The sequence below is a fragment of the Homo sapiens genome, chromosome 17 (genome assembly GCF_000001405.40).
Source record: "Homo sapiens chromosome 17, GRCh38.p14 Primary Assembly".
Taxonomy (NCBI): domain Eukaryota; kingdom Metazoa; phylum Chordata; class Mammalia; order Primates; family Hominidae; genus Homo; species Homo sapiens.
Genome location: NC_000017.11, coordinates 65,799,802 through 65,812,150, shown reverse-complemented (window position 1 = coordinate 65,812,150; position 12,349 = coordinate 65,799,802). Strand labels below are relative to the sequence as shown.

The following is a 12,349-nucleotide window of genomic DNA, read 5'->3' as shown; positions in this document are numbered from 1 at the left end:
GCGCCTGTAGTCCTAGCTACTCAGGAGGCTGAGGCAGGAGAATGGCATGAACCCGGGAGGTGGAGCTTGCAGTAAGCCGAGATCAAGCCACTGCACTCCAGCCTGGGCAATGGAGTGAGACTCCATCTCAAAAAAAAGAAAAAAAAATGTATTTTAATACATATGATTAGGATTGGAAAGCAGCAATGACAGAAAATTATGTATTAATTATGGAAAGAAAAAGAGAATAATTTACAGGTATTTAGTAGTAAAATACCACTTCAATTTAGAGTTGTAGACCAAAAATGAGGCATTCTGTTATTACAGAAAAGCCAGGCTCTTTAGTTTTCGGTTCTAAATAGGAGATTTATAAAATTAAGAAAAGCAATTTTTCAAGAAATTTTCATTTAAATAACACTTCACTTGTAAAAATTTAGATATTGCTTCACACTATCTCATTCACAGCGCTTCACTTTCATGGCTATAACTTGTATGTGATAAAACTAGCACAGGAAGAACAAAGCATGTCCTACCCTAAATCATAATTGCTCATAGCCAATATGATGTTGGATGGATTAGCCCATGAATGAGATTATTACAACTCATTGGCCTCTCGGTTTCTTGAGCTCATCAGTTCTCCACCTCAGCCACCTGTTCAGGGGTATGACTAGAGTCTTTAACAATTCCAGTAACTGTACCACCTTGAAAATTTTGGTTTCTGGCATTCCATTCTCTCTGCCCTCCCCAACCCCCACATTTCTAACTCAGTTAGGTTAGCGTCCTCACACTAGCAGTTTTTTGCCCTGTGGGACTTACAATCGATTAACATCATTTTCCACTTTCCATTAACTTCTTCATGTTTTCACTTCTCAGCTTAGATTTCATGGTCCATCAGAGTAACCACTTCCTTGAACTACTCTCAGCTTCCTTGCCCCTATTTACCTCTACCTTCCTCATTGGCAATCCCCAACCCTGGCTACACCAAACACTCATGTACTCTACTACAGTATCTAAACACTTGACCATGGTTCAAGAGAAGACACTTATGTTAACTATCTTCCCTTGAACGTAAGGCCAAAGAGCCCTCAGCACTGCAATGTTAATTCATTTTCCCAGTAGAAAATTTCATCTCCGTCTATTCTTCTCAAACCTCCAACACTGCCTTTTCATTTCTGTTCTGAGATGATGACCTCGATTTCACTGGAAAAGTGGAGGCAAACAGAAGAGAACCACTTTATCTGCCCATCCCAAATCTACTCTGCAATTGCATCTATATCCATGTTCCACCTTCCCTCCTTTAGGGTAGATGGATTTCTTCCTTATGGAAATGTGTACCTCTGTCTAAGGTCTTCACTAGTACACTACACTCCTCATCCTTATTCAAGGGTTTTTCTCCTATAATTATCCACCATTTCTCTTATATCAATATTTTTCTCTCTGATACATTATTTCAAAAATATAAAAATATGAAATAATATGTTAAAGAATTCTTTGATCACGTATGCCAAATTATTCTAAGTTATACTGTGGTAGCAAATTGACCCCCACATCTCAGTGGCTTCACTCAGCAAAGATTTGTTAAGTGAAACCATAAGAAAGTGCTGTTTTTATAGATCTAAACTGGTTAGTTATCAATAATTTAATGTGATTAATACTTTTTCAGATTGTAAGTTCAATGTTGGTTGATAGAAAGATTCCATTATCTTGAACACTACTGGTCACCGATGGCTAGAGGAGACAGGATATGAAGAGCTCACACCCAATTCTTTGTACTTTGGCCCAGAAATGACCCATATTCCAATCACAGCCCATTAGCCAGAACTAGACAAAAGGCTCCACCTACCTGCAGGGGGCTAGGAAATGTGTGTGGGGAAGGGGAGATGCAATAGGGAGGGGGGTATATATTCAACTACCAGTAAATGCTCTGTTGCAATCCAAATCTCACTTCAATCACTGTGCCACGTCTTTGTTTATCTTTGTAACCAGAGTCTTCAAAAGGTCTTTCTATTAATACTTAATTATTCTACTGCCTTATATTCTCTTCTTTTATTCATGGCAATGAGGCTCTTCGCCACTTCAATATGTTGAAACATTTGTCCAATCAACAAGTGATCTCTGCACTAAATGCAGTGCTCTGTCTTTAGTCTTCATCACAGTTGACTTCTCAGAAGTTTTGACACCATTGATCACTCCTTCTCTGATAGGTTTTAATCACATTATCAGTTAGGAAGAACATCGTGGTCTCCAGGAATTTCTCCTAATTGGCTAGCTGCTCCTACTCCATCTCCTTTAGTAACACCACCTTATCTTCCCCCCCCCACTTCCTTTACTCAGTCCCTAACTCATCTTGTGCAGTCTCATTGCTTTAAATGCCATCTATATGCTGATGACTTCCAGTTTGTATCTCTAGTCCTAGTCTCTTTCTGAAGTTCCAGGCTGGTATTCAACCTTTTCCTAAACACCTTCCTTGAAATTCTAATAGATGTCTGGCACTTAATATTTCTGAAACAGAGCTCTTAATTCTTCCCCAATATTCTTCATATCATAACTAGTACTGAGTCATACTTGACACATTTCTTTCTTTCACGCCTACATTCTTCCTACCAAAAATTCCTGCTGCTTCAAATATATCTTACATCAAACCACTTCCCATCACGTCTGTCATTACCACCCAAGTCTAAAATAAATCTAAATTGACTCTTCACTGGACTGTTGCAGTAACTCCCACCTGGTCTTCCTATTTTCATACCTACTTCCTCCAACAGTTCATTTGTACAACAATCAAATCTGTTGGAAAATAAATGAGATTATATAATTCCATGCTAAAAACCCTCCAATGGCTTCTCATCAGTATTGAAACAAAATGGAAATCTGGCCCCTGCCCATCTCTTCAGCTTATCCCCTACTCCTCTCCCCCTCAGTTACATGGATCCAGCATGTGGTTTTCCTGCCTTTTGTAAGTATTTCAAGCTTGTTCCTACCTAAGGCCTTTGAAGTTATTTTTTCTCTTTGTCTGGATTTCCCCCCTCAGATCTTATCTTAGTCCATTATGTGCTACTATAACAGAACACCACTGAGTAATTTATAAAGAATAGAAATTCCTTGGGCTCATGGTTCTGGAGGATGGGAAGTCCAAGATCAAGGTGCTACATCTGGTAAGGGCATTCTTGCTGTGTCATAACATGGCAGAAGGCACATGGTGAGAGAGAAAAAGAGGAGGGCCAAACTCAATTTTGTATCACACCCACTTCTGCAATGATGACATTAATCTATTCATGATTGTATTGGTTCATTTTTATACTGCTATAAAGAACTACCTGAGACTGGGTAATTTATGAAGAAAAGAAGTTTAATTGACTCACAGTTCTGCAGGCTTAACAGGAAGCGTGACTGGGAGGCCACAGTTCTGCAGGCTTAACAGGAAGCATGACTGGGTGGCCTCAGGAAACTTACAATCATGGTGGAAGACTAAGCAGAAACAAGGCACATCTTCCCATGATGGAACATGAGAGAGAGAGAGAAGGGGGAAGTGCTATACATTTTTAAACCATTAGATCTCATGAGAACTCACTATCACAAGAACAGCAAGGGGGAAGTCCACCCCCATGATTCAATCACCTCCTACCAGGCCCCTCCCCTGACACGTGAGGATTACAATTCAAGATGAAATTTGGTTGGGGACACAGAGCCAAACCATATCATTCTATCCCTGACCCCTCCCAAATCTCATGTCCTTCTCACATTTCAAAACCAATCATGCCCTCCCAACAGTCCCCCAAAGTCTTAACTCATTCCAGCATTACCTCAAAAGTGCAATTCCAAAGTCTCATCTGAGCTAAGACAAGTCCCTTCCACCTATGAGCCTGTAAAATCAGAAACAAGTTAGTTACTTCCAAGATACAATGGGAGTACAAGCATTGGGTAAATGCTGCCATTCCAAAAGGGAGAAATTGGCAAAAAGAAAAGGGCTAGAGGACCCACGCAAGTCCAAAACCCAACAGGGCAGTCATTAAATCTTAAAGCTCCAAAATAATCTCCTTTGAATCCATGTCTCATATATATGGCATGCTGATGCAAGGGGTGGGCTCTCACAGCCTTGGGCAGCTCTGCCACTGTGGCTCTGCAGGGTACTGCCTCAGCAGCTGCTTTCATGGACTGGCATTGAGTGGCTGCAGCTTTTTCAGATGCAAGGTGAAAGTTGTCAGTGGAACTAGCATTCCGGGGTCTGGAGGATGGTGGCCCTCTTTTCACAGCTCCACTAGGCAGTGCCCCAGTGGGGACTCTGTATGGGGGCTCCAACCCCACATTTCCCCTCTGCACTGCTTTACTAGAGGTTCTCCATGAGGGCTTTGCCCCTGCAACAGACTTCTGCCTGGACATTCAGGCATTTCCATACATCCTCAGAAATCTAGGTGGAGGCTCCCAAACTTTTGCCTTCTGTGCACACACAGGCCCAACACCATGTGGAAGCCACCAAGGCTTGGGACTTGTACCCTCTGAAGCAATGGCCTGAGCTGTATGTTGGCCCCTTTTAGCTACAACTGGAGCCAGAGAGGCTGGGATACAGGGTGCCATGTCCCCAGGCTGCACAGAGCAGAGGGGCCCATAAAACCATTTTTCCCTCCTAGTCCTCCAGGCCTATGGTGGGAGGGGCTGCCACAAAGGTCTTTAACATGCCCTGGAGACATTTCCCCATTGTCTTGGCTATTAACATTTGGCTCCTCTGTGCAAATTTCTATAACCTACTTAAATCTCTCCCCCAAAAATGGGTTTTTCTTTTCTACCACATGGTCAGGCTGCAAATTTTCCAAACTTGTATGCTTTGCTTCCCATTTAAATATAAGTTACAATTTCAGAACATCTCTTTGTTCATGCATATGAGCATACACTTTTAGAAGCAGCCAATCACATCCTGAATGCTTTGCTGCTTAGAAATTTCTTCCACCTGATACCCTAAATCATTTCCCTTGAGTTAAAGTTTTAGAGATCTCGAGGGCAGGGGCAAAATGCAGCCTGTCTCTTTGCTAAAGCATAGCAAGAATGACTTTTACTCCACTTCCCAATAAGTTCTTTATCTCCATCTGAGACCACTTCAGCCTGGACCTCATTGTTCACATCACTGTCACCATTTTGGTCAAACCATTTAACAAATCTCTATGAGGTTCCAAACGTTCCCACATCTTTCTGTCTTCTTTTGAGCCCTCCAAACTGTTCCAACCTCTGTTCGTTATCCAGTTCCAAAGTCACTTCCACATCTTCAGGTATCTTTATAGCAGTGCCCAAATCCTAGTATCAATTTTCTGTATTAGTCCATTTTCACACTGCTACAAAGAACTGAGACTGGGTAATTTATGAAGAAAAGAGGTTTAATTGACTCACAGTTTTGCAGGCTTAACAGGAAGCATGACTGGGAGGCCCCAGGAAACTTACAATCATGGCAGAAGGTGAAGGGGAAGCAAGACACATCTTCCCATCCATGGTGGAACAGGAGAGAGAGAAGGGGGAAGTGCCACACATTTTTAAACCATCAGATCTCATGAAAACTCACTCACTATCACAAGAACAGCAAGGGGAATTCCACCCCCATGATTCAGTCACCTCCCACCAGGGCCCTCCCCCAGTATGTGGGGATTACAATTTGTGATGAGATTTGGGTGGGGACACAGAGCCAAACCATATTAATGATATTAGAGCCCTCATGATCTAATCACCTCTTACGGTTCCCACTTCTTAACACAGTTGCATTGAGGATTAACTTTCCAACACATGAATATCGTGGGACACGTTCAAACCATAGTGGATCTTGTATTTTCCAATGACTACCTACTCTCCACCCAAATGTTAGAATATCCCCCATCACTTTCTATTATTGTACACTACCTTTTTTCTCTACACTACTTCTCAATCCTTATGATTTATTATTACTGTTTTTGTTATTGTTTTACTTGTTTATGCATGCTTGTTTCCCCTGGGCACATGCCTGGCATGTTTTAGGCACCAGTACAAGTGTGTTGAATAGATAGATGGATGAATCTCTAATGTTTTCCAACTATAGCACCCTAATTGAGACTGGAAAGATTCTGTCAAGAATAATTCTTGGGTCTTGATTTCACCAAACAGTAGTATTGACACAGATACTTATAACCCTCTGGAAACAGAATAGGACAAAATAATAAAATATTTTTTTCTGCTTTTGTGTCAAATATTATTTGAATGGATCCATAATGCAGCTTAAAATTCTGAAAATAATACAGAACTGGTAAACATTTGAAACAGGAAAACTAAAGTGATAAAGAGAATGAAGGTGTTTCCATATGAAGATTTTTTTAAAGTTTTGATTTTAGGCAGAACATTGAGAGATTCTATGGCAAAATTTGCTAAAACCATGGATGGATTAATTCAGATTATTTTTTCAACAAAGCACTGCTTAAAAGAGTTTTAAAGAGATTGTTTCAAGCCAAATAAAAGGAAGTACAGGAATACCTCATTTATCAGATATTGTCCAGGAATAAAATGTTCCGCAAGTCAGTTTCCAAAAAACTAAAATGTAATCTCAATATATGTGCCAAAGCTTACCATTTTGAAGGATATTTTTCTAGCACGCTCTACTTACTCCTCTACTCTTTTAAACGAAAAATGCTAAAGACATCAACTCAGAGTCATCATTGAGAATGTTTTGATACCACATAAAAGATTCCCTACAATAAAATCTACCCCACATTGTTATCCCAGTTTTCTCTCCTTTTTATAGTTCTTCCGTCTCCTCCCTTTTCTTTCAGTTGTTACTTTATGCTTTTGGCAGCTGCTTTTAATTTGTTGACTGAGTTTATACAACAAGTAGCATGAGCAAGGGACTAAGGGCAGCTCCTAAATAATACACACCATTGCCACTGGAACTCTGATCTCTGGGCAAGTGAGGTATTACGGTAGTCATAGAAATAGTAAAATATCATAAAACACATGAAAATGATGATGTTAATGAGGACACTTATGACTCTTCCTGCCACTATAAAGATTACTTGTAGGCCAGGTATGGTGGCTCCTGCCTGTAATTTCAGCACTTTGGGAGCCAAAGTGGCCAGGTCACTTGAGCTCAGGAGTCTGAGACCAGCCTGGTCAACATGGCAAAATCCCATCTCTACTAAAAATACAAAAATTAGCCACATGTGGTAGTGTGCACCTGTACTGCAATCTACTCTGGAGGCTGAGGTGGGAGGATTGCTTGAACCCAGGAGGTGGAGGTTGAGACACCACTGCATTCCAGCCTGGGTGACACAGTGAGACCCCGTCTCAAAAAAAAAAAAAATTAATTGTACAGAGTTTGTCCTTTGCTAGATGGACTGTGGCCCTCACCTAACATGGTGATATTTAATATTGTTAATATCATACTGAGGATATGATTCATATTTAGAATGACCACAGGTTCCAGTTTCAATGCTTATTTTTCAGTATAATTCTTAACATTACTTTTATTCTCAAAATTTGTCTAGTTTTGAAAATAAATTTTATATTTACCCTCTATATAATGCATTTTAAATAATTCACAAAGCAGTAGTAATTTTTTCATTCAGTTTCTTATTCTGCCCAGAATGCAGCAGACTGGAATTAGAAATTAAAACTCAGAGAAGATACTTTTTAAATGATGTCATCAGAAACACACTTAATGGAAATTATGATTAATGTATTAAGCAAAATGAAATGTCAATTAAGGAAATTTCTCCTAATATCTCTTCTAGGAGAAATTTTGTGTCGATATGGGGCTTCAAACATACGTGTTGAGTGAGTAATTAGATGTATTCATCTACATTTGAAATGGATAAATGACTGAAATTTGTTCTTTTGAAAAGAGCTTTATAGACATAGAATACAAAACAGTGTTATGAGCGGCTCATCTAATTTTAATAATTCAGAAAAATTTTCTTTTATATTTGTGAATCAAAATACAAAGCTTCTCTTGTGTTTATTTAAATTAACATGTCTTTTGGCTTAGGGAAACCAGACGAAACACATTTTTAAAAATTAAAAGTAATTAATCCCAACTCGTTTTTTAAAACATGCTGAGAGGTTATTGAAAGTTAGAAAATTCTTCTGGATGAGGTTTCATTTAATGTTGTTTCTTTTATCTATGTTAAATAAGGATCTGTTCTAAAGAAATGTAATCCTAAGATATTAACAGCTATTAGCTTGAGGTTAAACTTGTGCTACACACACACAGTGGATTTGTCTACATCTAGGATATATTGAATAGTCCATCATTATAAACTATTTTTAAGTTTATTAAATTTTGCTGTGTAAAAAATAAGAATCAACAGAAATGCTCATGATTCATAAAAATGCTCTTTTGACTAGGAAACTACAAAAACACAGTAAGACATTTAATTTAGCAAAAGTTTGCCTAAGAGCAGTCAATGCATGAACATGATGCACTTAGATATTATAGTACTAGAAACTTCTAACGTGGATGATCCAGAAATTATCTTCATGAAATTATCTATTGGGAGGGAGTAAAGAACAGGGGTTTTACCTTTTAAGATGGCATGTGATACTTGATTACATAGTGCAGTCATTTATATTTTGAGAAAATAATGTAACACCTAAGGTATTTGGAGAAAGGACTTCCTTGCTAGATGTATGTTCATTTTATATCCACATTAATTACATCTTGAAACTTTTTGATATAAATTTGAGATACTTTTGTTTTAAGCACATATTTAAAACTATTTTCCACTTTAAAATGATGCATGGTAGAGAAATGAAAGGGGATATTGATATATCTCCACTCTAATCTTCATTTCTTCATTTATTGTTTTAGTTATCTAATGTTGTATAACAAAATCACCACAAAATGTGTAGTGGCTTCAAACAGCAATATTATCTCTTACTGTTTCTGGAATTTGGAGGCTCGTTAACTGAATGGTTCTGGCCTTGAGTGTCTCATGTGGTTTCAGTCAGACAGTAACTGGAACTGAGGTCATATTGAAGTCTTCTTCACTTACGCTCCTGGTACTTGGAGAGAGAAGATACATATAGCTGGAGCTCCTCTGGCATCTCTATCTCTATGTAGTCTGTCTACATGACAGCTTCAGGGTACCTGGATATCTCACATGTTAGCTCAGTACTCCATGGCTCATGTCCTGGGACAGAAAGCCAGGTGGAATTCATATCACCTTTTAGACTTAGCCTTAGATTTCAAGTGGTGTCATTTCTGTCACATTCATTTGGTGAAGGCACTTGTAAAGGTCTTCCCACATTCAAGAGATGAGAGCTCCTTGACTCCACCCCTTGATGGAGCATCGACACTATATAGGGAAAAGAGCGTGTGGGAAGAGGAATATATTGATGCGGCCATCTTTGGAAAATACAATCCTGCTACACAGATAAAGCATTTGGCTGAGTATAATGAGTTAGGCATCACGATGAGTCCTAGAATAAGATGATAAATATATACAATTCCTGCTCACAAGATGCCTATAGTCTAGTAAGAACATCCATGTAAATAAATGCTTTCCATGGGGTATGTATAATGTGATAAGATAATGATGAGCTTGGTGGAATGTTGTAAGATTTGATAGGAGGTGTTTTAGTGAAGAATTGAAGATAAAGGAGTAGTCTAGCGTGCCTCCCAGTTTTCTAGTTTGTGTGACTGAGTGGGTGAGTGGTTTAAGACCTGTTGAGCTAGAGACATCTGTAAAACATACACATAGAAATGACTATTGATCATTTACAAATACATCTTCCAGGGAAAATGTTTATGCTGAGGATGTAGTTTTGCAAGTCAATAAATTTGGGGTAGAATTTTAAGACCTAGATGTGTATGATATTGCCCAGAGAAATTTTGTGGAATAAGAGAAAAGGGGAAAGAATGTAACCCTGTAGCAAACAACAGTGAACAAGTGTACTGAGAGGATGTCAGGGAAAATGACAGAGTAAAAGCCTCCACAAAGTCTCTTTTCCATAAAAGCAATGAGAAAACTGGAAGACTTATTGTTTGCAGGCATTTAAAGAAACCTCTACCCAATCATTAGCTGACCACTAACTAGCCAAGCAGAAACTTCAGCTGCCACACATGACAAAGAACACAGACTTTACAGCATTTGTTCAGAAAAGTCACTAAATAAACAGTATCACCACCACTATTACAACAAAAGTCCCCATCAACAACAACAAACCCTGGGGGAAGGAAGAGAATCTGATTTCCAGAGTTGCCATACTAAAATATTGAAAATGTCCAGTTTTCTGCAAAATAATTATGAGACATGCAAAGAAACAAAGTGTGGCATGGGCACACTTTATTTCCCGTGGGCAGGGGGAAAAATAATAGAAACTGTTCCTGAGGAAGCACAGATGTTGGATTTAATAGACAAAGACTTTAAATAAGTTACTTGAAATATGTTCAAAGAACTAAAATATTATGTCTAAAGAAATAAAGATTAACAGCTAATTTCTCTTTGGAAACCATGAAGGTCAGAAAGCAGTGGAATGAAATACTAAAAGCCCTTAAAGAAAAACACTGTTAACCAAGAATTCTACTTCCAGTAATGTCCTTTTAAAATGAAGAATATTCTCAGATAAACACAAACCGAGATAATTTGTCAATAGCAACTTGTGAGACCTAAATGTAAGAACTAAAATTATAAAACTTATAAAAGTGTAAAACATACCAGAAAATGTTTATGACCTTGGATAAGACAATAATTTCTTAAATATCACAACAAAAGCAGAAGTGATAAAAGAGAAAAGAGGTAAATTGGACTTCATCAAAATTAAAAACTTTTGTACTTCAAAGAATACAGCAACATCAAGAAAATGAAGATGGCTGGGTGCAGTGGCTCATGCCTGTAATCCCAACAGTTTGGGAGGCTAAGGCAGGAGGATTGCTTAAGTCCAGGAGTTCAGACCAGCCTAGGAAACATGGTGAAACCCCGTCTCTACAAAAATTAGAAATATTATCCAGATGTAGTGGCATGTGCCTGTAGTCCCAGCCACTCAGGAAGCTGAAGTTGGAGGATAGCTTAAGCCCAGGAGGCAGAGGTTGCAGTGAGTGCACCAGCGCACTACAGCCTGGGTGACAGAGTGACAAAAAAAAGAAGATGAAGAAGACAGAAAGAAAGAAAATGAAGACAACCCACAGAATGGGAGAAAATCATCCAGCTGATAAAAACCTAATAGACTATATAAAGAATTTTGCAAGTCAACAACAAAAAGACATAATACAACTGACAAATGGGCAATGGAGTTGAATAGACATTTCTCCAAAGAATGTATACAAATGACCAGTAAGCAGATCAACACCACTGATGCTCAACACCATTAGTCATTATGGAAATGCTAACCAAAACCACAGTGAAACACTAGTTCACACCCCCTAGGATGGCTGTATTAAAAAAGACAAACAATAGGAAGTGTTGGAAAAGACATGAATACACATTGGAATCTTCGTATTTTACAATGGGAATTTAAAACAGCCCAACCACTTTAGAAAACAGTTTGATGGTTTCTCAAAAAATTAAACTTAGAATTATAAAATCCAGCATTTCCTCTCCTAGGGGATATACCAAGATAATTGAAAATGTAGGTTTGCATTAAAACTTGTGCACAGATGTTCAAAGCAGCATGATTCATAAATAGCCAAAAAGTATAAGCAACCCAAATTCCCAGTCACTGATGGATAGGTAAACAAAATGTGGTATATCCATAAAATGAAAGATTACTCAGCTGTAAAAAGTAATGAGTTCCTGATACATACTATGACACAGATAAACCTTGAAAATACTATGTAAATAAAAAAAATCTGGACACAAAAGCACACATATTGTATTATTACATTTATATGAAATGTTCAGAATAGACAAATCCGTAGAAACAGAATGTGGATTAGAGTTTCAGTCGAGGGAAATGGGGAATGATGGCTATTGATTTCCTTTTTGGGTAGTGAAAAAAAAAATCAGAATCAGATTGTGGTGATGGTTGTACAACTTTAAGAATACAGTAAAAACCATTAAAATGTATACTCTTAAAAGGTGTGTTTTGTGGTAAATGAGTTATATCTCAGTTTTTTAAAGAGATGGCTATGGAAGAAAAGGCAGTTAGTAATATTGAAAAAGAGTCTATCAAGAAGCAGAAGAACATGTGAGAAACTGATTTCATGTTCAGAGGACAAGTTTCTTATTCTTAGTTTCCGAGGAATTATGTATGACTCACCTGTAGTTTATATAAATCTCTTAATACATCATCTTGCATTTTTTCTAGATGTACTCTGAGAAATATACCCAAACTTAAAAAATTTTAAACATAAAACAACTATAGAAAAATCCATTTGTGAATGTGACAGTGTGTGGGTGCCAGTGTGTGTGTGAGCAATGGTAGAAGG

At 38.1% G+C, this 12,349-nt stretch overlaps 1 protein-coding gene across 23 annotated transcripts in view; it reads left to right on the top strand.

The window, feature by feature from the left end:
• CEP112 (centrosomal protein 112) overlaps positions 1-12,349 on the top strand; it is a 556,597-nt gene that overhangs the window by 379,983 nt on the left and 164,265 nt on the right. Inside the window, exon 2 of one of the 23 annotated variants that reach the window (NR_126542.2) lies at positions 7,716-7,758. The exons of the other annotated variants lie outside the window; for them this stretch is intronic. The gene's annotated coding sequence lies outside the window, so the exon portion shown is untranslated. The remainder of the gene's footprint in view (positions 1-7,715; positions 7,759-12,349) is intronic. 23 annotated transcript variants of the gene reach the window in all.